The sequence below is a fragment of the Homo sapiens genome, chromosome 1 (genome assembly GCF_000001405.40).
Source record: "Homo sapiens chromosome 1, GRCh38.p14 Primary Assembly".
Classification (NCBI taxonomy): Eukaryota; Metazoa; Chordata; class Mammalia; order Primates; family Hominidae; genus Homo; species Homo sapiens.
In genome coordinates, this window is record NC_000001.11 from 24,297,515 (window position 1) to 24,322,074 (window position 24,560).

The 24,560-nt window shown below is 45.9% G+C and overlaps 1 protein-coding gene and 1 long non-coding RNA gene across 6 annotated transcripts in view, besides 3 other annotated features; one reads left to right on the forward strand and one right to left on the reverse strand.

Annotated features, from left to right (window-relative positions):
- Positions 390-637: a silencer, noted in NCBI's record as "fragment chr1:24624394-24624641 (GRCh37/hg19 assembly coordinates)". NCBI's record gives its function as "represses an EF-1alpha promoter that drives an FKBP-Casp9 reporter gene in an ReSE screen in HepG2 liver carcinoma cells {active_cell/tissue: HepG2}" and the evidence as "EXISTENCE:reporter gene assay evidence [ECO:0000049][PMID:32094911]".
- Positions 8,414-24,477, reverse strand: GRHL3-AS1 (GRHL3 antisense RNA 1). The gene is made up of 2 exons (NR_183722.1): positions 24,152-24,477; positions 8,414-13,303 (listed from the first exon to the last, which is right to left on the reverse strand). It is a non-coding gene; the product is annotated as a GRHL3 antisense RNA 1 (long non-coding RNA).
- Positions 11,185-11,479: a silencer, noted in NCBI's record as "tiled region #347; K562 Repressive non-DNase unmatched - State 12:CtcfO". NCBI's record gives its function as "represses a minimal TATA promoter and a strong SV40 promoter by Sharpr-MPRA in K562 cells {active_cell/tissue: K562}" and the evidence as "EXISTENCE:reporter gene assay evidence [ECO:0000049][PMID:27701403]".
- The window catches only part of GRHL3 (grainyhead like transcription factor 3), a 45,126-nt gene continuing 42,408 nt past the window's right edge, over positions 21,843-24,560 (forward strand). For 3 of the 5 annotated variants that reach the window (NM_198174.3, NM_198173.3, XM_011541870.3), the window contains exon 1: positions 21,843-22,054. In NM_198174.3, the coding sequence (NP_937817.3) occupies positions 22,038-22,054 (17 nt within the window). In that variant the 5' untranslated portion in view covers positions 21,843-22,037. Of the gene's footprint in view, positions 22,234-22,265; positions 22,428-24,560 lie in introns of those variants that run through there. The other 2 variants (NM_001195010.2, XM_011541869.2) reach the window with 2 other exon arrangements.
- Positions 24,376-24,515: a silencer, noted in NCBI's record as "silent region_432". NCBI's record gives its function as "represses an Ori minimal core promoter by ATAC-STARR-seq in GM12878 lymphoblastoid cells {active_cell/tissue: GM12878}" and the evidence as "EXISTENCE:reporter gene assay evidence [ECO:0000049][PMID:35858748]".

Below are 24,560 nucleotides of genomic sequence, written 5' to 3' on the forward strand. Positions count from 1 at the left end.
TTTGGGAGTAAAACACTTTTTAGTGATGAAGCCTGAAAAAGGATTTTGAAACCCCAGACAGTAGTTGCTTATGTGATGGGAGAAATAGCCCTCAGGCCACCAGGGTCATTGCTCCTGGGGATGTTTTCTGAGCCTCCCTTCCGCTCCTGGTTGCAAAACACAGTGGTCTGTGCAAGGGCCCTCCAAGCCGCCGCCTGTGCACCTGGTCCTGCAGCCCTGCTGCTGCTTCGGAGGAGGTTATGTCCACCCTAAGGGAAGGCTTGGGTGAGGAGGAGGGCTAGTCAAGTGGGGCATCTTCCTCTCCTTTGGAAAAGGATGACAGAGGGGACATGCCCTTAGCTCACTGTTAACAGACCTCGGGAGAGGCTTCTCAGTTCTCCTGGTGAAAGCTGTCAGGCTTGGCACATGGAGAAGGAAAGCAGGAGGAGGAGGAGGAGGGGAGAGCAGCTGGAGGAGGAGAAGGAGGAGGAATAGGAGAAGGAGGAGGAGGAGGAGGAAGAGGAGGAGGAGGAAGAGGAAGAAAAAGAAGAGAGGGCAGCCATGTGCTTTTGTACCGCTGAACTTGCCCCTGGTGAGGCAGGTGAGAGCCCAGCACCCCAGCAGTCTGGGACCAGGGCAGAAGCTGCATCGTCCAGAAGGGATCATGGCCTGTTTGTTCCTGGAATAGGGCAGCGCATAGCTGGTGCTCAATAAGTATTTCAATGAACACCCAGCCTCTGGTGGGCAGTCAGCAAATGAACGAGTCTTGGATAGCAGCAGTTAAGAACTACTAAGTTAACTCCTAGTTAAGACTAGAGTTGGTGGATCTGAGTTCACATTTCAGCTCTGTCACTAAGAGCTGTGTGGCCTTGAGCAAAGGGGAACCAAATACCCACTACACAGAGTGGTTAAGGGGACTAAGAAAGTTTGCAGTTGGCCAGGTGCGGTGGCCCACGCCTGTAATCCCAGCACTTTGGGAGGCCGAGGCAGGCGGATCATGAGGTCAAGAGATGGAGACCATCCTGGCCAACATGGTGAAACCCCATCTTTACTAAAAATACAAAAATTAGCTGGGCATGGTGGCCTGTGCCTGTAGTCCCAGGCTGAGGCAGGAGAATCGCTTGAACCCGGGAGGCAGAGGTTGTGGTGAGCCGAGGCCACTGCACTCCAGCCTGGTAACAGAGTGGGACTCTGTCAAAAAAAAAGAAAGAAAGAAAAGAAGAAAGGAAAGAAAGAAAGAAAGAAGGAAGGAAGGAAGGAAGGAAGGAAAGAAGGAAAGAAAGAAAGAGAGAGAGAAAGAAAGAAAAAGAGAGAGAGAAAGAGATAAAGAAAGAAAGAAAAAAAGAAAGAGAAAGAAAGAGAAAGAAAGAAAAAGAAAGATCGCAGTGCAGAGCGGGAGCCTAGTAAACAGTGGATAGACAAGAAATGAATGAAAGCTTCAAACAATAACTGAGCAGCGTGAGAGACCTCTGAGGGTGATGGAACGATTGTGTATGTTGATCGTGGTAGAGGGGACACAGATCCATACCTTTGCCAAAATCCATAGAACTGTATGCCATAAAGAGTGAATTGTACTTTTAAACTTTTAAAAGATTGGTTGTCTCAAAGATTCCTTCTGGTTTTGACATTGTATGGCTTTCTTCACCTATAAGATAGAGTTGCTGCTGGAAAGAAATGATGTAATTGATGTGATTCTGCATTATGGTGGAAAGAAAAAGGGTCTGTATGATATAGTTTCATTTGTTCACTCTAGCGTCCTCTTATCAGCCTGCTTTTGGTTCCTTCAGGACTTACCCAGGGAGTGGTAGAGGATGGCCACTCAGGACCTCATTTGGCATCCAGGGGCAGCGAGCTCTCAGAGGTACCACATCCTTTATGGTAGCCTCTGGTCCCACATGGCTATTATGACTTGAAATGTGGCTGCCTTAATGAGGGAAGTGAACTTTTAATTTTATAATCTTAATTAACTTATATTTAGATTTAGAAACCGAATCAGTGTAAAAGATTTTCCTATTAAATATAACTATTGTTTTGGTAGGACTACATCTTAATTTTATTTATTTTATTGTTAATTTTTTTTCCTGAGATGTAATTCACATACCATAAAATTCACCTTTTGGTTATTCATTTTTTAAATTGAGACAGGGTCTGGCTCTGTCACCCAGGCTGCAATGCAGCGGCACCATCACAACTGACTGCAGCTTCAAACTCCCCAGCTCAAGGGATCCTCCCACCTCAGCCTCCTGAGGAGCTGGGACCACAGGTGTGAGCCACCACGCCTGGCTAATTTTTAAAAAAACTTTTAGTAAGACAAGACATCACTGTGTTGCCCAGGCTGGTCTCAAACTCCTGGGCTCAAGCAATCCTCCTGCCTTAGCCTCCCAAAGTGTTGCAATAATAAGTGTGAACCACCACGCCTGGCTTTTTTTTTTTTTTTAAATAATTCACCATTTTAAAGTGTTACAACTCAGCGGTTTTTGTATATTCACAAGGTTATGCAACTATCACCACTGTCTAATTCCAGAACATTTTATCACCCCTCCCCCACAAATAAAACCCGTACCTATACCTATCAACCGTCACTCTGAATTCCTCCCTAACCCTTAGCCTCAGGCAAACACTAGTCCACTGTCTGTCTCTATGGATCTGCCTATTCTGGGCATGTTATATAGATGCAGTCACTCAGTATGTGTCTTTTGTGTTGGTTCTTTTCAGTTAGTATATGTTTTTGAGGTTCAACCATGATGTACTTTACTCCTTTTATCGCTGAATAATATTCCATTGTATGAATGTACCACGTTTTGTTTATTCATTCATCAGCTGATGGACATTTGGATGTTTCCATTTTTTTTGGCTACTAGCCCTTGAAAATATAGCATTCAAATGACGTGTTGGAAAGGTAAATCAGACTTACAGAAAAAAGAATAAAAATACCTCATTAATAATTTATTTATATTCAATACATTTTGAAATAAGTTTTTTTGTTGTTGTTGGTTTTTTTTTGTTGTTTGATTTTTTGAGATGGAGTTTCGCTCTTGTTGCCCAGGTTGGAGTGCAACAGTGCAATCTCGGCTCACCACAACCTCCGCCTCCCGGGTTCAAGCGATTCTCCTGCCTCAGCCTCCCGAGTAGCTGGAATTACAGGCATGTGCCACCATGCCTGGCTAATTTTGCATTTTTAGTAGAGACCGGGTTTCTCTATGTTGGTCAGGCTGGTCTCGAACTCCCGACCTCAGGTGATCCGCCCACCTCAGCCTCCCAAAGTGCTGGGATTACAGGTGTGAGCCACCGCACCCGGCCCAAAATAATTTTTTATATATGGGGTTCAGTAAAATATACCATTGAAAAAAACAAGCCTAGAAACAAAGCAGAGGAGGTGCGACTGTCGGGGAGGGAGGGCAGGGACCTTCCTCCCCGGGTCTCTTTGTTCAACTCCCTGCACCCAGTGGTGGACTTGGAATGAGGGGCGAGGGAGGGCCTGGGAGGAGCAGCCACTTTTGGAGTCGCTGTGCCTTGGCACTTAGGGGAGCTGCAGAAAGCACAGGTCCAGGCAGGAGTTGGTAGATTTCCCCCTGGGAGGGCACTCAGGGCTGGATTAATTGGACAAAAGGAGTAACTGGAGTGGCCAATGACAACACTGCCTTCTCCTGGCACCTGGCCTGCGCCAGGCTGCGGAGTTGCTCAAGGCACTTTTTGCTCAAGTACCTGCAAGCTCCTGTGCTCCTCTCCTTTGCGGGGGAGCAAAGGCAGCAACTTGAGAGGCTACATTGTCTCTGGGAAGCAGGGACTGGAGCCCAGGCCCTGCTCCATCACTGTTTTGTTGTGTCCTTGGGCAAGTTCTTTCTGCTCTCTGGGTCTTGATTTCCTCGTGGGTCAGATGAGAGGACTGGATTAGATAATCTATAGGGTGTTTTCCAGCTTTAACATTTTAGAGTTTTGAAAACAGTCCTGAGTCAGACAGACGTGGGATCAAAGCCTAGCTTTATCCTTACCAGCTGTGTAACTTCTCTGTGCCTTGTTTCTCTATCTTTAAAATGGAGTAAATAATAAATAGTGACTTCACAGGGTTACTGAAAGGTTTAAATAAGGTAACTGTTGCCAACACTTGGTGCTTACTATTACCAAACACTGTCCTAACTGCTTTGCACAGATGAGCTTATTTAATCCTCCCAGCAAATCCAAGTTCCTATAGTGAGAATGTGACAGAGAGGATTTTGGACCCAAGTAGTCCAGCTCCAGAACCTGTTTCCTCGTCCACCATGCTGACCTGCTTTCAGTACAGGTAGGAGGCTGTGTCCTCAATAAATGCTAGAGGGAGAGGAAGGCAGAATTCTATGATTGTTAAAATACTTCTGATGGAAATCCTAGTATGTTCCACATTAAATAGATGCGGAAACCAAACTCAACAGGATGAAGTGATGAGCTCTGGACCACCGCCAAAATGGTGACAGAGCAAAACCCAGATATTCTGGCTCAGAGTTCCCCCAAGTATTTGGAACCGGAGTGGATCTCAAGTTACACATGCAAATCTGTTGGCAGATAAGCAGCCCCAACCCAGGCTAATCTCAGAAAGTATCACTTAGCTGATTAATATCTGAATATCAGGGGTGCGTTTCTGGAAATGTCTTTGCCTTCCTCAGTGCATACTCTCTGAATTTCATCCAGGTACAATTCTTAGTTGTTAAGTGTTGCACTTAATAAGAATTGGCTGTCTAGGGTGCTTTTAAAACCACTCTTGGCTGCTTCTAAGATTCAGCTCAAATATTTCTTGAGTGTCTACTGTGGGCAGAGCATGTACTATGTACTGGAAATACGCAGAGATGAAGGAACTACTTCCCGCCCTGCCCTCTGGGAGTTCTCAGTTGAATCAGGCAGATAGAAGAAATTCCCTTGCTCAAGAATAATTGTTTTAAAATGGACAAAAATGATAAAACTCAGTGTTGGTGACTGTGCAGGGAAACAGTCACTCTTATTCCCTGCTGGTGGGAAAGGAATATGGTCCAATCTTTCTAGAGGGCAGTTCGATAACAGTTATCAAAAGTCATAAAACTGTGCCTACCCTTATAACCCTGCAATTCTACTTCTTGAAATTGGCCCCAAGGAAATAATTATGGCTGGGCACAAAGGTTTAGCCATAATTATGTTTGTGCAGCGTTGTTTATGATAATGAAATACTGGATACACCCTTGTACGTCAATGGGGGACTGGTAAATTAGACATGGGTCTTCCACAGCAAGGTCACCAGAGAATATTTAATGCTACAGGGGTTCACATTGTTACCCAGTGGGGAGAAAAGGCAGGATACAAAAATGCCATCAAATAGTGTGGCAGCATTTTTTCAGTAAGAACAAGTCTTTTCCAAAAATTAGCTGGGTGTGGTGGTGGGCGCCTGTAATCCCAGCTACTTAGGAGGCTGAGGCATGAGAATTGCTTGACCCCAGGAGGCGGAGGTTCCAGCGAGCTGAGATTGCGCCACTGCACTCCAGCCTGGAGACGGAGCGAGACGCCATCTCAAAAAGACAAAAAAGAATATGTATTTTCTACAGTAAGAGCTAACATTTGTAGAGTCATTTTTAGGCATTATTTCAACCCTGTAACAGATACCCTTTTTTAAAAAAAATTGTTTAATAAACTCTTAACTATCATAGGTACTCTTTAAAATAATTTTTTTGGGGGGAGGCCAAGGCAGGCGGATCACCTGAGGTCAGGAGTTCAAGACCAGCCTGGCCAACATGGTGAAACCCCGTCTCTCTACAAATATAAAAATTAGCCGGTGTGGCGGTCGGTGCCTGTAATCCAGCTACTCGGGAGGCTGAGGCAGGATAATTGCTTGAACCTGGGAGGCGGAGGCTGCAGTGAGCCGAGATTGCACCACTGCACTCCAGCCTAAGTGACAGAGTGAGACTCCGTCTCCAAAAAAATAAATAAATAGCCAGGCGCGGTGGCTCACGCCTGTAATCCCAGCACTTTGGAAGGCTGAGGTGGGCTGATCACCTGAGATCAGGAGTTTGAGACCAGCCTGACCAACATGGTGAAACCCCGTCTCTACTAAAATACAAAAATTAGCCGGGCGTAGTGGCGGGCGCTTGTAATCTCAGCTACTTGGGAGGCTGAGGCAGGAGACTCACTTGAAACCAGGAGGCAGAGGTTGCAGTGAGCTGAGATCACGCCACTGCACTGCAGCCTGGGCAACAAGAGGGAGACTCCATCTCAAAAAAATAAATAAAAATAATTATTTTTTTAGAGACAGGTCTCACTGTTGCCCAGGCTGGAGTGCAGTGGCTGTTTGGAGGTGTGACCATAGCGCACTACACCCTTGAACTCCTAGGATCAAGTGTTTCTCCCGCCTCAGCCTCTCAAGTAGCTGAGACCACCGGTGTGGACCCAGCCTTATAGGTGCTCTTTTTATTCTCATTTTACAGTTGAGAAAGTTGAGGCTCTGAGAGTGTAAGGGACTAGCCCACATGTTCTAGCTGGGATTGAAGTTTGGCTCTGAGAGCCTGTACAGTTAACTCGGATGTAATTGCTTTCCTGTAGGCAAAGAAAATCATATGGGAGAATAATGGTGGTTCTCTTGGGATGGTGAATTATAAATATTTAATTTTTTCTTCATTATAATTATCTGCATTTTCATTGCTTTTTTTCCTCTCAATGAGCATTGGTTGCTTTTGTAATTAGAAGAAAAAAAGTTATTTTATTTCAAATAACATTGGCCTGTTGAACTCACAAATCACAAAAATGAAAAGCTTGACATATAAGAGGGTTTATCCTTGGCAAGTCCTCTACCTGCCAGAGGGTTGTTTCAGATGGAGGACAGGAAACCCTAATGTCTGGTCTTCAGAACTCTAATGGAGGACCCTCATCCCCAGCCAGCCCCTCAGGCCAAATCCCAAAGGGCGAGTTTCCAACCGGCAGGTTCCCATCTTCCCATCAGCCCTGAATTCCACAGCCTGGTTTTCGCTAGCAATTCAAAGGTGGGCACCCCGATCTCAGTGGCCCCATTCATCATGTTGGAAGCCTTCCCACCACCTCATTTCAGAATGAGTTAGGCAAGGACAAGCCCAAAGCAGGTGGCAAAGATTATTTAAAAACAAAGATTTTTTTTCCCTCCAAATTAGCTAGGGATCCCTAGAGTCACTACCCACCAAGGAATTAACCCCTTTTTGTACTCACAGGGCTGACTGGCTATTGTGATAGCTGTTCATTATGAAACTGTCCATCACGACTGCTGTTAGAGAACTACCTGCTGGGCTTCTACCATCTGAGGAAAGGAAGGGGTGGGGAGAAGGCCAAATACTGTTGTGGGGGGTGTGGAGGTGTAGGGGAGGACAAGGAGGAGGGATACAGGTGGTTGTAATCATAGTAAAAGCAGCAAAATGTTAATAAACTACAACAAATGTTTCCTGAGTACTTACACATGCTGGGGGGTTTATATGCATTATTTCATTGAATCTTCCCTTGAAACCCCATGAGGTGGGCACTGTCATTACACCGATTTTGCAAGTGGGAGAGCAGTCAGGCTGAGTGAGGCTAAATAACTGTCCAAGGTTATACTGCTGCTAAATGGAGCAGTTAGGATTATAAACCCAAGTCCTCCTCTTGCTAACCACCCACCTGGAGCCCTGCAGAGCCCCCAGAGAGCCTCTTCTCAGGGCGTGCTTCATATACGCACTTCACACACATTTTCAATTTCAGGACTTGCTGTTTTCAAGTCTCTTGGCCAGAAAGATCTCACGAGGTTTCTTTTGTTTTGTTTTGTTTCTCCTAGATTTATGTGATGCCACTTTGGAGGTACTCAAGCTTGATGGCTTTGAGATGTGCCTGTCCTGGGTTTGTATCCTATTTCTAGCACTGTATGTTGTTGTATCTTGGGCCTCAGTATTATCAATGTAAAATAGAGACTGAAAATTCAACATACATGTCCTTAATCACACAGTAACCATAAAGTTTGGAAACACACTTATTTTGCCTGTATTTTAATGTAATCGAGCTATACCATTCACATTTGTTATGCATATTTTCCTCTTTTCAGATACAGAGTAGCTCATGAGATAGATCTGAGCTCATGGGAGATATATATATATATATATATATATGTATATATGTATGTATGTATACATACATTACATATTTTATATTATAAAATTAAATATGTGTGTAAAGAACTTAGCATGCAGCCTGGCACATAGTACGTGCTTAATACATGATAGCTGCCATTGTTTGTTGGTTTTGGGCCTTAACTCAATCTCACAAACGTTTGTTGAGTGTCTGTGTGAAGGCCCTAGAGGCAAGCTCTTATGTGGTAGCGAAGGCAAACAGACATATACGTAAATTATTCTCAAAGAAGGCAGTCTATGTTAAGTGAAATGCTGCCAGTATAGACAAAGTGCATTGAGAGAATAATGGACAAAGCAGTGAATTCTTGCCAGGGAGATCTGGGTGGTAAGATTTTTATTTTTAGATTAAATTGACAATACAGAGAAATGCAGATCTTTAGTGTACAATTCAGTGAATTTTGGCAAATGTATTCACCCATGAAATTACCACTGGAATGAAGATCAAGAACATTTTCATACCCCCAAAACCCCTTCTAATCAATCCTCACTCCCCAAAGGCAACCACAGTTCTGTTTTTTCCCCACAATAGTTTTGCCTGTTCTTAACCTTCATATAAATGGAATCATTCAGAATGTCCCCTTCTTGTGTCTGGCTTCTTTCATTTAACATGGGTGATAAGGTTTGAGCTGAGCCTGAAAGCACTGCTAGGGTTGAATAAGCAACAATGGAGGCAGGGGAGAAAAGGTGAGGTATAGAGAATAGCTTGAGAAAGAAAAGGAGACGGATAAAGTGAATTGGGGACTGGTGTGACTAGAGTAAGGGGTACCCAATGGGGAAGAGAAAGAAGGATGGAAAGCTAGGTTGGAGCTTTGTTTTGCAGAGTTTTCAATGCCAGGACAAAGGCATGTAGACTTTATCCTGAAGGCAACAGGGAGCCAGCCAGGGAACAGAAGAGTGGACTGATGAGATCTGGGTTTTGAGGAGATATATATGTGGCCACAGCAGGTAGATACAATGAAGTTCAGAAAGTCTGGAGGCCTGGAGACCAGTTATTTGATTGTTTATTAATTCATCCATTCATTCACAATGTCTGCCAACTTTGTGATCAATAGCCTGCTCATTCATTCATTCACCCAAAAAGTATTTATCTGGTACTCTCTAGATTTTGGGTTTCTGGCCATTACCTCTCTGGCTTTATCCGTTGACTAGGAAACAAGTTTGATAAATCCTTCTTTAAAAAATTGAGATGGGATCTTACTATGTTGCCCAGGCTGGTCTTGGATTCCTGGGTTCAAGCAATCCTCCCTCCTTGGCCTACCAAAGTGCTAGGCATGGGTCACTACGCCCAGCCTCTGCTGCTTGTATCAAATTCTCTCCTCACCCTGAAAGTCTGGGAAATCCTTGATTTTTTTTCTAGTAATGGGCTCATCAAATCCTGCTAAGAAAATCTTCATTCCCATTGGGTATGTCTTTCCTAAAAACCCAATTGGGCAGACATCACCTTAGATTATTTTGTATGTGAGATAATAAGTAAATAGCCCAGAGAAACAGGAAGGGTTTAAATCAATGAAGGCAAGGTCAACTCTATGCCTTCTTGGAGGGCTGGGGACAGTGTTTCCCAAAGTGTGTTCCACAGTGGATCACTGGTTCTACAGGTTGTTATAGGAGTCAGTGGGGATGGAGGAGATGAAATCATGGCCATCTTAGTTTGAGAAATACTGGGTTAAAAAACAAACAAGGTAGGTTTCCTGACTGCAGGACTTTTCAGATGCTTGATGACTATGCCTTGTTCATTTCTAAGGAGAGATGTGAAGCTTTTCCCAAATGTTTTGATCCTGGAATCTTTTCTGCCGGGAACATCTCAGGCATTCTTGTATTTCTCAGAATGCATTTGTGAGATTCCCCGACATGACTTGAGAGAAATCAGAAGCAGTTCAGATCGAGGAGAGTTATGGAGCAAAATGCCCATAAGGTTGGGCCAGAGTAGGGAAGAGCCTGGAGCTGTGAAGAAGAGGGAGCTCCCTCCACAGGGAGGCACAGGAAAAGGAGAAGGAAGTGGGCTTGAGCCTTGCCTCGCAGTTGCATGGAAGTAGGAAGAGGAAAGAAATTTCCCAGTGGGAAAAGGAACTGGTGCAGGACTGAACTGGGACCGCGGAAGGACATCTGTATTGCAGAATTTCTATGGAGGAAACTTTATCTTCAAAGTGGCTGCAGCTGGAGCCTGTATTTGCTGGGCAAGAGAAAAAGGAGGAAAAAGTACATGGCTACTGGCCATGGGACGTGACAAGGACAGGGAAGTAGGGTGCTCCTTCGCGATCCCCACCCCTAGAACTGGCTCTTTCCCACAGGCACATGAGTGAAGAGCGCTGAGCTCTGTCCTCTCATTGTATGGCACGCTTATCTCCCTCACTGTGCTTCAGTTCCCCCAACTGCCAAAGGATGAGAAGGTAGGCCTTCCAGAAAAAGAGTCTGAGCCTTCCAAGGGAGGCAGGCAGATCTGTGCCTCTTCATAGCTGGGCAGAGCTTCACCAACAGGCTTCAGACAGGTTTGCACCCAAAGTCACAGCGGTAGCTGAGGTTCTGAAGTAACAGGGGATCTGGGTTCAAATACCAACTCCACCACTTACCTTGAGCCAGTCACTTTACCTCTCTGGGCTTTTCATGTTTCAGTTTTTCTCACCTCAAACACTTGGGCACCAGGAGGTTAGTACAAGGTACTTATGTTTGTTAGTAACATCACTAAACTCCTCTAAAGCCCATTGTCTCTGTAAAGGGAAATTTGTTACATTAAGATTGGTTAAGAGACTTTGTACTGTAAGGGGCAAAAACTGGTAGAACGAGTTGAAACTGATTGTTTTTTTATTTTCTGTAAATCCTGCCCATGTCATCCCCCTCAGGGTTCAAGCAGGGCTTAAGAATAACTCGGTGGAGACTCTTGTGGGTAAGGGGGATGCTGAATGCCTCCTCCATTCCCAGCATTGGTCTCCTGCTGGGTGTGACTCAGACTGCACAGTGGGCCAGGAAGAAGGGGGTGGGGGTGTCAGAGGTCACTAGGCCCCAAAAAAGAAAATGTTCTATTTCCCAGGTGGGGCCTGTTTTACAACAGATCAGGACATCCCCAGGCTCTAGAGACAACATCCCTCCCTTACCATAAACTAATCCATTCTGGTCAAGTGGAGGATGATTCTCGCCCAAGGCACCAAAAGGCAGAATCCCCCAGGTCTGATGTTTGGGGTTAGCTGGTTTTCTCAGGCCTGCTCCCTTTGTGATGCAGGCTTCGCTTTTTAGCCTTACACCTTCCCTGAGGCCTCCTTGTGGCTCCAGAAAGTCTTGCAAACAGTTCATTCACCCTATCTGGTCAAGAAGGTTCTGCCTAGAAGCTGCGGGATGGGGTGGCTTTTGAAGATGGTGTCGAGGCCCGGGGGTTTATGAAATGTTATCTTGGCTGATAAAGGCATCTGCTACTAATTATTTTTTCCTGTGTTTTCTTTTTTTGTCACCTTCAAAGTCACAGATCTCAGACAGTTGGAAAGAACCTGAGTGACCTTCAAACTCAAACCATTCATTTCACAGTTGGAGAAACTGGCTCAGGGAAGGAAGATGACTTGCCTGAGGTCACACAGCCAGCAAGCAGCAGAGCTGGAACTCAAACCTTGATCTCTTGCCCCTTGGTCCTGTGCTGTCTCTCCTGCTGCCTAATATTGGTAACAGCTATGGGGCACTTACTTTGTGCCAGGCACTATATTAAGTGCTTTACATGCATTTAATCCTTACGACCATCCTATGAAATAAATACTATTATTAATCCCATTTATAGATAAGGAAACAGACTCAGAGAAACAAGTTATGAAGCTTAGGGTCACAGCTAACAAAAAGCTGAGCCAGGTTTCAAACCCAGATCAGTCTCAAAACCCGGAGCTTGTAATCACTAACACTAATCTAAGGCATAAGTCTTCTCTTTGAGGGGCTTAACTTTCAACATCCCCAAACCACCTCACACGTTTCAGGGAACCCACAAAGACTGGAGAGAGAAAGAGGGTGAAACAAAAGGCTCCCAAACTGGTCCCATTCAGATGGGGCTATCCCAAGTTGTCACTTCAGTCTAAGAGCAGCCAAATGAAATACTGTGACCCTATGTTGGGTCATCAGTCAATTCAGAAGCCCCTGGCAGTTTTGAAATATGGCGAAACAGGCAAAGCCATGGACTAGAGAGTCAAGTCACTGTCACCTGCCTATCAAGACTCATCTTCTTAGCAGTTTCTCCAACACCCATCAGTGGGTAATACTGAGGATGTCTGCACATGACCCAGGAGGTACAAATGACTGAGCTCATTGTGAAAGGAGACAGGGCTGCAGGTGAAGTATGCATATTCATAGAGTACTGGCAAGGCATGAATCAGATTTCTTAGGAGACTGGGCAGAGAGCAGCAGTCATGCTCTCATCCTCTGAGGCAGGGGAACCTGATGACTAACCCCCATCTTCAGGCACATTTGCCTTGGGCTGAGTGCCCCGGGAGGCAGAAGCAAAGAAAGAGACAGGACAAGGAACTGTTTCACTGGGGTGGCAAGAGATGCCCATCCCTAATGATAAAAGACAATGGCTGACACTTATCAGGTCTTAACTATACACCAGAGTGGTGCTGAATGTTTTGCAGTGTGTTACCTTATTTGCAAAAACCTCACAACGGTGAAATTATGCCTATTTTACAGATGAAGAAACTGAGACTCAGAGAGCTCAAAGGACTTGCCCAAGGTCACACAAGTAGTGAATGGTTGAGCCAGGATACAGACTCACGTAGACTGGCTCTAAAATCCAAGCTAGATGTGCTCCACCTTCTGTGTATGTGTGTGTGAGGGCAGGTAGTCGGCAGTAGAGACTTCTGCATCACCTGAAGGGTGAAATTAGAGAAGTCTAACAGACTCCTCCAACACAAGATATTTTGTGAAATTTGACAACAAAACAATGTTTCCAAACATCTAGTTGCAAGCAGAGGAAAGGTTTTCGAGTAGAAGGGTTTCATCAAGGTTTCCCCAGTGGGCTTGTGTACAGGAATATACCTTATTCATTTCTCTCCCCAGACTGTGGCATAGTTACTTGAACTGAGCACGTCCTCACCAAGTTACCTGAATGACTGTTTGCTGAAGCAACGTAATGTAGCAGTTCAGCTTTGGAGCCAAACAGTCTGGGTTGAGATCCCACCTTGGGTCCTCTGGCGCTGCATGACCTGATCAAGTTTCATAGCTTCTTTAAGTCTCAGCTTCCACATCTATAAAATAGAGGTGGGCACTTGTAAGGACTGAGTGAAACAGGACAGGTAAAGTGTACAGACCCGAACAGAGAGTTAAGTGCTCAAAAAATGAGAGCTGCTATTATAATTGGTGATGATTAAATAACTCTCCATACTCACTGAATGAATGGATAAATGAATAACGCATGTGCCTAGTCAATGTGGCAGCCTGTCCGGAGCACTGGCTGAAAGGGTAAGCAGGGGCAAGTGAGGAGTGGGGAGATTGATGGTGACTTCTGAGCGGTTACCTTCCTGAGAGAAGAGCCAGAGGGGCCTGATCGTGGCGTAAGATATGGTTCTTAGGCCCCTGCAGGCCACAGTTTCTAAGTCCTTCCTCTTCTCCACTGCTGGACCATAAGGCCCCAAACTGATGGCCTTGAAAAATTCCCTAGCAGGCCAGCGGTGGATTCAGAAAACCCCTCACCTGAATGTTCAAGGCCCAAGGTTGAGCACTTAACCTCTGACCACATGGCCTCTGCCTTCCTAGTGGGGATACAGGGCCCAGAAAGGCCTCAGCAAAACCCTCCCTCTCCCCACCCTCTCCAGTGAGATCAGATCTAAATAAACACCAATGGCAGCCTTTGAAGGAACACTCCTAAGAAACAGGACGGGTTAGGACCTTATGGGTTAGTTGTGCCTATCTGAACCTCTCTAAGCAGAGCAGGTCCCGCCCTGTCCTGCCCCACCTCACCCCACCCCACCCTAACCTAGGAAGGTAGCACTGACCCTGGCCACCTACTCATTCCATTCAGCACTGGGGCACCAAGACCCTCTGTCCAAGCCAGACCTTGGCCAATTTTCCTCTGTAGCATTTCAAGGAAATCCCTATCTTAACCCTCCAGGCCCCAGTTTGACCCCTGCACAGAGGAGGAAATATGTTTCCAGTGTTTGCCGTGGGGGTAGTGGGGATAAATATGTTTTTCTCTGCGATGCTGTCTTTTATTTGGAAGTGGGCAGTGTCTTGTTTAATGGCCTCTTTTAAGACAGACTCAGCAATAGTGGTTGGGCTGCTGGGGCCTGAGGCACAGGTGAGGGCTCACCTGGGGCCAAGACAGCTGGGTTCTGTTCTTCCCAGCAGGCCCTCTCCTTCCAGGACTGAGGCTGTGTTCTCCCTGGCTCCCCTCTCCCTGGCTGCCTCCTGTTCTGGCTGGTTCCTGGCAACAGAGAAAGAATCTCAAGACAGCACACTGGCTGCTTCTTCCTTCTCTGCCTGAGCAGAGGATAAGCCTTCTCTGATTTGTTACTTTTAAATAAAGTTTCTTTTTCCTATTAACAGAAGAAATAATGTCCACAGAAACAAAAATAAAGCATAAATCACCACTGACCCCAATATCCATAATACTCCCTGGGGTGAATTATTGTTTTCTCTATTCATATAAATGGATTTTTAAAATAGGAATGGACTAATTTACTAAAAGTAGAGTAAATGGAAGACTTAAAAGTAGGGAATCAGACCCAGATTCAAGACTTAGCTCAGAAACTCCCTGAAAATAACCTTAGTAAGTTTCACTTCTGCGCCTCACTTTCCTCATTTGCAAAATAAAGATAATAGTACTCACATCATAAGGTGGTTGTGAGAATAATACGAGGTCAAACACTGAGCCTAATGCCTGGAACAATCATAAAAACACATAATTGCTAACAACTGTACTGAAAGCACAGTAAATAACTTCCATGGTACACAGGAAGCCTCCGTAGCATCCTTTTAAACTGTAGCGGGGCATGCAGCTACATTCAGGTATCTTAATTTACTTCACTGAATCTCTTGTGAAGGGTATTTTTATTAATTCTAATTTTTCAGGATTATAAACAATGCTCTGATGCACATCCTTGTAGGTAACTCTTTGCACACAAAGATTATTTGCTTAGGCAAAATTCCTATGAGTGAAATTGCTAGATCAAAGGATGAGCTAAACTGGAAAGCCAAAGCTTAGACTGGCTCACTCTCCTCCCAGCAAGGAGCATGCTTGTTTTCCCTTGCCAATACTGTGATTAGCATTTTCTTTCATCTTTATCAACTGGATAAATGAAAAAAAACAAAACAAAAACAACTGCTTGTTTGCTTTCGGAGACTTATTTCTAAGAAGAGCTTTCAGGGTGACTTTAGACTCCATGATTCCTCATGTCCAAGGAAGCTCCAGGAAGGAATGTAGGTGGTCTTACTGGAAGAACTGTGATAACCATCTAAAGTACAGAATGTAAAAGGGCCTGAGAGCTGCCCGTTCCATGTCCTGCTGCTCTGCAGGCACAACTTCCAGGTCCATCCATGCCTTCAAAGAAGGGCCATATTCTCATGGCCGGGCGCGGTGGCTCATGCCTGTAATCCCAGCACTTTGGGAGGCCGAGGCGGGCGGATCACCTGAGGTCGGGAGTTTGAGACCAGCCTGACCAACATGGAGAAACCCCATCTCTACTAAAAATACAAAATTAGTTGGACGTGGTGGCACATGCCTGTAATCCCAGCTACTAGGGAGGCTGAGGCAGGAGAATCGCTTGAACCTGGGAGGCGGAGGTTGTGGTGAGCCAAGATCGTGCCATTGCACTCCAGCCTGGGCAACAAGAGCGAAACTCTGTCTCAAAAAAAAAAAAAAAAAAAAAAAGGTGGGGGGGCATATTCTCTATGTAGGGTGTGTGGCCTACCCCTCTGCTTAAGAACATTATAATGAAGCTTTTACTTTAAATGTTAAATGTTCAAATGAAATGCTACAGAATATTTTAATGAGTTTTGAGTGAGTGCCCAGGACAGCACTTCTGTGACCCCTTAGGACCCATAATGGTATCTAGGGTGATGCTTTGTCTGAAAGTCAAGGGTCAATCCAAAGTTCTTCACTTAACCAGGGGCATTCTCTCTGAACCTCAGTCTAACAAATGGGGCCAACCATGCACTCTTGTCCCTTCCTCCTGGGATGGCTGTATGGATCAGGGGAGATGAAGCACAGGAAAACACTTTGAAAAGAGCTCTACATCTAGCAGAGGCTGTATTGAGGGGAGGTTGAGGGCTGAATGCTGTGAACTTAGCTGTGCACTGGGGCTGGAAATGGGAAGTGGCTGAGGCCTTTTTTTTAAGCTGGGTGCTCCCTATAACACCAGCTACCTTTTATTGGGTACCTATTTGCCATAGGTTTTACGTCAATATCTCATTTAATTTAATCCCCAGGCTGACCCCACTGAAGCATGATGGGAAATTACATACAGACCTGAAGTCATGGGTGCAAAGAGAAGGCACTGGTGCATGAAAATAAGAGGGAGGAGAGGAATTCAAACTTCGGAGGTCTTCCCTTGGGTGGTGGTGGGTGGGGTGGGGGGTAGAAGGCAATACCTAATTTGCCCAGAATGTCAGTAATGTGTGAAATTATGTTCATTCATCCGTTTTTCATTTATTCAACAAACATTTATTGAATACCTATTATGTTGAGACACAGGACAAGTGCTATGTGAGATTTATTTTTCCTTGTATGGTTTCTGCCCTCCAGAAATTTACAAATCCTATCTGCCTTGCAGATACTATCAACCAACCTATCTACTTTTCTTCCCTCCCTCCCTCCCATCTCCCTTCTATCTATCCCTCCTAGACCTTGTTCCAGACAGGGACTAGGAAGCTTGAAAGGACTATTTCCACAACTTTGGGATCAGGCCAACTTCAGTTTGATTTCATCTCTGTCACTAAGGGGAGAGCCAGGTGACCTTAGATGTTATATCACCTCTCTGGGACTGTTACCATCTTCTGTATAAAACAGGGATACTTATGGCGGCTACTTCACAGGCCTCTTGAATTACATGATTTTATATATATATATATATTTATTTATTTATTTATTTATATATTATTTATATATATATTTATATATTTATATATTTATATATATATAAAATCAAGCACTAGAACAGTGCCTGACACATACTATGGACACTGTTATCTAATCCTCATAGCAATCATTTCACTGAGGACAAACTGAGGCAGAAGGAAGTGAAGTTGCTTGTCCAAGGCCTCAGGCAGTCACCCTCAAAGCTGACGTTCTTTAGTAACTTGGCCAACCATGTGACCCCATTTTACAGGTAGGAATGGGATAGAGCATCTACAGCTAGCATTATGGCGTTAAGTGCTCAATAAATGATAGTAATTTTAATTGCAAAATCAAAATGAGATCAGATAGCTGAGCTCGCTGCTGAGAGCCTGCAAGCCAGACAGCCCCCCTGCAAGCCAGACAGCCCCCCCGTCTCCATTCCTGTGCCTCCCAGGGGATCACTGGGCAAGGACTCAGTCTTCACTCTCTTCATCCCTGCCCTTGTCCCAGGAAGGATAGGGACACAATGGCCATTTGTCAATGGGAAATTATTTTGGTTTAATGACATTTAAACTGGGGCTTTGTATAGAATTTCTAATTACAAAAGCAGTGCAAGTTCAATGTAGCCCGTTTGGGGGAAGACGGAGAAAAGATTGAAATCCTGGTATTTCAGTGCCCACAGAGAAGCACTGTTGACATGTGGGTATATATTCTTTCAATATTTGAATATAGGTCAACAGATTTGCATTAAGAGTTCTGGATAATTAGAAAGCATTCAAGTGTTAGAAAAGGACGGCTGTCAGCAAGGTCCTCATGTTCAGCAGCGCATGTCCCGTCTGGTAAATGGTGCCGTCATTGTTCAGTACACAACTTTCACAGACACACAGAGGAGCCCTGGCTCTCAGTGCTCACTTACAGTGGCCCTAACTTTTACTCCTCCCCAACATGCCAAGGAGAAGTGTCATACTCTTTGGGAACAGTGGCTTCTGCACAGGCATGATCGTGGAAAGGAGGGGAGGGATGAAGGACTGTGCAGTCCTCCAAGAGGGCAGATCAGAACGTCTGGAGAAAGAACATCAGTAATCTAGAAAAGCAAATCAAGATGATTTTAATAGGGAACTCCCCCCTTATAGTGATTCACTAATCTGTTCTTATAGAGGGAAATTGAGACTCTGAGAGGAGAGAATTTACTCAGTCACACAATAAGTAGCCAGAGGTCAGGCAGAACTTGAGCGCAGGGCACTCCCTAACTTAGTCCAGTCCTGCAAGAATGGAATCAGAAAGATGTGGGTTCAAATCTCAATTCTTTAACTTATTAGCTTTTGTTTTGTTGTTGTTGTTGTTGACATTATCTGTTTGCACAGGCTGAGTGCAGTGGCGCGATCTTGGTTCACTGCAACCTCCGCCTCCCAGGTTCAAGCAATCCTCCTGCCTCAGCCTCCCAAGTAGTTGGGATTACAGGTGTATGCCACCATGCCCAGCTAATTTTTGTTTTTTTAGTAGAGACGGGGTTTCACCGTGTTGGCCAGGCTGGTCTCGAACTCCTGATCTCAAGTGATCTGCCTGCCTTGGCCTCCCAAAGTGCTGGTATTATTGGCATGAGCCACCGCACCCAGCTAACTTTTGACTTCCAACAAATCATTTAACCTCCGAGTCTGTTTCTTCACTTGTGAAATAAGGTTAATATCTTCCTCATTAGATTTAAATGAGAATTAAGGGGGGAAAAAAAGGCTTTTCTAACAAGTATTGAGTGCTAGATGCCAGGTACAGATAATGCACTTCACACGCATTATCTTTTAATCCTCACAATAACCCCATAAGGGAGGAATACAATTTTTATATACACTTTACAGGTGAGGAAACTGAGGCTCAAAGAGCTGTAGCCACTTGCCCGACATCATGTAGCTAGTTGGGCTGAGATTTGAAAGGAGGCCTGTGAGTCTCAGAACAATACTATCCTAACACATAGGTAAGTCTTAGCACAGTGCTTGCAAAATACAAACGCTAACTAAACAGCAGCCCTCATTATTTACTGTCATTATTGTGGATATAATTATTATGTTACAAGTAATTGGCTGGTCTCTGTTTATGTTTTTTTAAACTTTGTTTTTTTTTTTTTTTTTTGGAATAGCTGTTCTGTTTTAAATCTCCTCTGCAGAGGAACCAAGAGCTGTGCTGATCCATGAAGGGGAAGTAGGTGCCAGCCTTGCTCAGCCCCACAGGAGCAGGAAGGGGGCAGCAGCAAAGCACGGGGAGTGTCTCTTTAAAGGCCTGGCATCTCTGGGTTGTTGGGATGAAGGCCTAGAAAGCACTTGTACCTCCTGCCTGGGAGGTATAATTCCTACTGAGGGGCCTGGTGACCTTGCAAACTGGCTCATGGCGTTCCTGCCTACCTAGCCCAGACCACCGGTCCTTCTATCCCATCCGGGACACTTCTGTAGCCTTCCTGTGTGTGGAGACGTAGAAACCCTCTGCCCTGTGATTTGGGTCTCTGCTGATCTCTGAAGATGGGTGCGGGTGATGAAAGAGGCAAAACCTAGAGGCAGAGGGAGAGGACCCATTTTTAAAACCCCAGCGAGCACAGACACGCCACCTGGAATCCCAGCCTCCCCTGAGCCCAGTCAGCATGAGTCACCCCACAGCCCTTCACCTGTGGGTTGCAACACGGTTGACAGAAACTCCACAGCCTTCCATGAGGTGGGCAGACAGGTACATACAGAGGAGTGTGCCATCCTTTGGACTGCAATAAGCTTTGCAGTTACAGTTGGCACCAAATAGCCCTTCAGCCACCAATAAGCTCTGTGAAGTGGTTGGGCACCCAGGCTCTGCTCTCGGATTAAATCCCAGCTCTAGCTCTACCACTGCCTAGCTCTGCAGCTTGAGTAGTTTACTTCAGTATTCTGTACCTCAGTTTCCTCATCTATAAAATGGGGGTATCAAAAATGTCTATCTCCCAGGGTTGCTGTAAGGATTAGGCGACACAATGTATGCAAAGGCGCACAATGCCCGGTGCCTGTGGTATATGAAGCACCTACTAGGTGCCAGACACTGGAGATTCCACAGTGAGCGACACAAAGTCTTTGCTCTTATGGAATTTACATTCCAGAGGAAGGGGAGAAAGACAATAAACGATTAGAAAAATATCATAGGTCATATTACATTGTATCATAAGTCATAAGGGCTCTGCAGAGAACAAAAAGTAGTGTGATCCAGAGTGATTGAATGTCTACTTTATTAACAAGGGTGACTGAAGAGGGCTGCTCTGAGGAGGTGGCTTTATTAGCAATTATTTACTATTATTTATTAGGGTCCCCTGGGCTTCCCCCAACACAGCCTCCAGGGAGAAACCAATCTCTGAGAGTTCTCAAACCCAGTACCCCCTCTCCAGAGCCCTGACCCCACCCCAAGAGGGCTCCTTTGAATTCTGACTTTACCCTGAAAAACCTCCATAAATTGGCAGGGGTAGCTGAAACCTCACTTGCCGTTCCCAGAGAAGAGAGAGAGGAGTGGGCCAAGTTGAGGTTTCCAGGAAGACACAGCAAAGAGATAATTTGCCAAAAGGGGAAGGGTGGGGGAGGGGAGAATAGAAAGAGAGAGAGGGAAAAAAAGATGCCAAGATCTCTGGCTTAGATTTAATTTCAAACTAATCCTGGAAGAAGCTCTTTAAAAAGCTCTTACATTCTCCTGTTTGTGTTTGTGGATATTCTGGGGTTTACCAAGCTTGTTCTTTATAGTAGACAGCTCACAGCAATTACTCCACAATTACTTCATCTGACAGGCATTGAATTTCTCCCAAGTTCCCAATACAGAACGAAGCACTTGGAGCCTGTGAAATGACCAGCTGGCTGAGGCTTCAGAGGAGCCTTCAACTTTTCTATCCCTTCTGTGCTGACCAGAGGTATGTGGCTTGCCCACACCCCCTTCACACCCAATAAAAGCCTGTTCTCCTTTACTCCCCCACCCCCTGCCACCAACACACACCCCCCAGATTGTAAACTCCTTTAGAACAGTAACCCCTGTTTTTTCTGGCCTCAGTTTCTCCAGAACCCAGAGTAGGGTCTGGCACACAACGGGTGCTCAATGAATGTCTACTGAATTGAGGCCACTGACTTCAGCCCAAGGGGCAGCCAGACTTGGAGTGAGATGACTGCAGATTGGATCTGGGCTGGGACCTCGCTAGCTGTGCCCTTGGGCAAGGCACTTTGCCTCTCTGGCCTCCATTTCCTCCCTCATCTGTAAAATATGTGTTGAAGAGGAAGGGGGAAGCGATAATAAATCTACCACGGTAGGTTACTTTAAGAACCAAAAGAAGTCACTTGAGTAACTGCAAAAGATTATTCAAAAATATTACCTTAAAGGGGAAACTGAAAAAAAGGGAACTTATACAAAGATCTACCTGGGAAAAGTTGCTCTCTCCTTTGAGAATTCCCCAGTGGTACAGAAGGAGGGGGCAAAGAAATTTGGGGGTGGGGATGTTTCTGGGTATCTGGGACAATGACTAGAAACAGGAATCAAGTTTTCCTTTAAGCCAAGTTATCTGTTTGTCCCTGTACTTTTCCTCTAGTTATCTTGCTTCTTTCCAACATTTTCTTCTCCATCCCTCCTCCCTCATCTCCACCCCCCACCCCCTCACCAAGGAAGGAATTGGCCAGCTCCACCCAGCCAGTCCCCCATAGCTCCGCCCTCCTCGGCGGGCTAAGAGTTAACAGCTGCACCTGTTGAGGTATACCTCCAGTCGCCGGCACCTGTACCTGTAGCCAATCAGCGCCAGCGCTGCTGGGAACCTACCTGTCAGCAAAATCTCGACACCCAAACCTCAACATAAATCAAACACTTTCCCGGGCAGAGAATGTCTGTGTCAGGCAAGAATTAGAGACAAGCGGTCAGCAGAGCCTCAGTGCTGATCGTCGGAGCTTGGGAGCAGGAAGATGTCGAATGAACTTGAGTGAGTAAACATCGGTGGATACCTGCCGCTCTCAGAGCGTGGAGGCTGGATGGGGTTTCCTGGAGGGGGAAGAGCGGGGAGGCCGGCACCGGGATTCACAGAGCAATTTGTAAGGGTAAATGAATGGGCTGACGATCTTACTTTGGCGTGTCAAGGCAAGCCCCAGTCTCAAGCTAGAGGTGAGTGTTTCCCTGGGAAAATAGTTTTTCTCATTCTCTTTGCTGAGCAGTTTCGAGCCAGGCAGGGAAACACAAGACTGAAACTGTGAAGGTTTCTGGCACCACTTTTTGATCCTCTGAAGGGGCCTTGGAAATCAGACGACCCCAATCCCATCGAGGCTTTCTATCTTCTTGCCAAAAGGAACTTCTTTAAGGTAGTTCTAAGAGCTGTCTTAGGCAGAGAGTTGGGTTTCTCTAAAGGGACTTGTTTGCTGGGTTGGAACAGTCCCAAGTGGGAAGGTTACAGTGTGGTGGTTAAGCATGTGTACTCTTTGTAGTGGGCTTGACCTAAGTTCAAATCCAGGCTCTGTCCCTGGGTGATCTCAGACAAGACATTCAATTTTTCTGGGCTTCATTTTCCTCATCTGGAAAATGGGTACAAGAATGCTTTGTAGAATTCTGGAAAGAGTTAAGTGTGATAAATGCTGTAAAATGCTTAGCATAAAGCTATGGTCTGAAGATGCGTTCAGTAAAATGTGGTTCCTCTCATTCAGAGGCAGTTCTAAGGCTGGGGAAGATGAGAAGTGATTTTTGGTAGGTCACCTCTTTTGGCTGGGAGGATGCATGTGCCTTCCTGCCCACATCTGAGATTTAAGATCCTGACTGACTGATGCTGATCTTCACCATGATGTCCTTCTTGGGGTCCAGACCTTAGAGAAGGTAGGGTGAGGCTGGGATCTGGGCTGCTTTAGATTGGGTTCAGGGAGCTGGCAGGAGAAGCCAGAATCCTTTAAACACAGGCTCTCCTTTTCCTGCCACCCTCAGAGGTGAGTGGGCAGAGGCAAGGATTGTACCATCTTTTTTCTAACTGCTCCTCAACAGACTTTTAAGAACTTGAAGATCTGTGGGCAGACAGCAGTGCTAGGTCCTGACTGCAGACCGGATTCTATGTTCTAGCTAGCCCTTCAGCTCTTCATGTTCACAGCACAATCACTTGGGTTAACAGGCACATTTCTTTTGAATGAATTTCCCGGGGTTGACAATGTATTGACAATTGGACCGCAATGAGAATAAGAGCAGGAGCATTGGTACTGACACCTGGGTTCAAGTCCCAGCTCTAGCACTTATAGCTGTGTGATGTTGAGCAAGTCCCTTAATCCTCATCTGTAAATAGTGGCCAACAGTAGTATCCACCTCATGGGGTTGTTAGAGGATTTGACAATTTTAGAATAGTGATTGCTTTTAAGGCTGGTGGAGAACACACCAGTAACACCATTGTCATTTCATGTAGAACTAACCAATCAATGAGCATTCCCAAACCTCTTGCTATTTTTCCATACTTTGAACGCGCAAAAAAATCTTGACATGTGTCTCCATCCCACTTAAATTTGCTGGCTAAAACTGCGGAGGCTACAGACAGAATCTATTCATTACTGCACGTTAGGGGGTATGTGTTCTGAAGCTGGGTTACTTGAACAGAAAGGTTTCTTGCTTTTCTCCTCCCTAATGGTTTGGATTTGAAGTCAGATCCGCTGACAGTTGAGGCTTCTCAGTTTGGGGTGGGGTGAGGGAAGCCAGTTGCCTGCTGAGTAATTGCAGGCGGACTCCAAGCCACCATTTGAGATTACAGTGGCAGAGCCTGGGGGCTCAGCTGCCCCTACTGGTAAGGGGAGGGCACCCGGCGCTTGGCTTGCAAGTTCTGAGCTGCTGTTGCTTCTGCGGCCTCGACATTCTCCTAAAAAGTGCCAAGTTAAGAGGACTGGCCATAGCTTACAGCTTGGGCCCTCATGGAATGGCCAACTCTGGCCAGGCCTTGATATAGTGGCAAAAGTGGGACTTGCCTGTCACTCTAAATTCTGCCACTTACCAACAGCAGGATCCTGGTGAATTTGTTTGTCCTCCCTGACCCTCAGTCTGCTCATCTGTCTGTAACACCTACCTGGCAGGAACAACTGTGAGCTCCCAAATGTGGACCAGAGCTCCATCCGCGCCCGCCCGGTGGCCAGGCCCCGGGTGTAAGGCGGCACTTCGAAGGCTGGTCTCTGAGAAGCATGGAGGCCCCGGCGGTGTAGTTAGAAACCAGCTGGAGGTGGCTGGCGGGTGCTGAGCGCCGGGCCTTTCATGTGGTCGCAGCGCTCTGGGTGCCTGGAGCCCGCAGCCCTGGGCAGCCCCGGGCTACCGCAGGGCGCAAGGGATCCTGGGCTGCGGCCGAGGGCGCCGGAAGTCGCCGCCGACCGCCTGGGTCTCGCAGGAAAACAGCCGGCGCCCGCGAGCTGCCCAGCGTCGGGTTTTCCTGAAGGTGCGTCGGGGCCCCCGGGGAGCTGGAGCCGCAGGCGACCTCCCCGGTG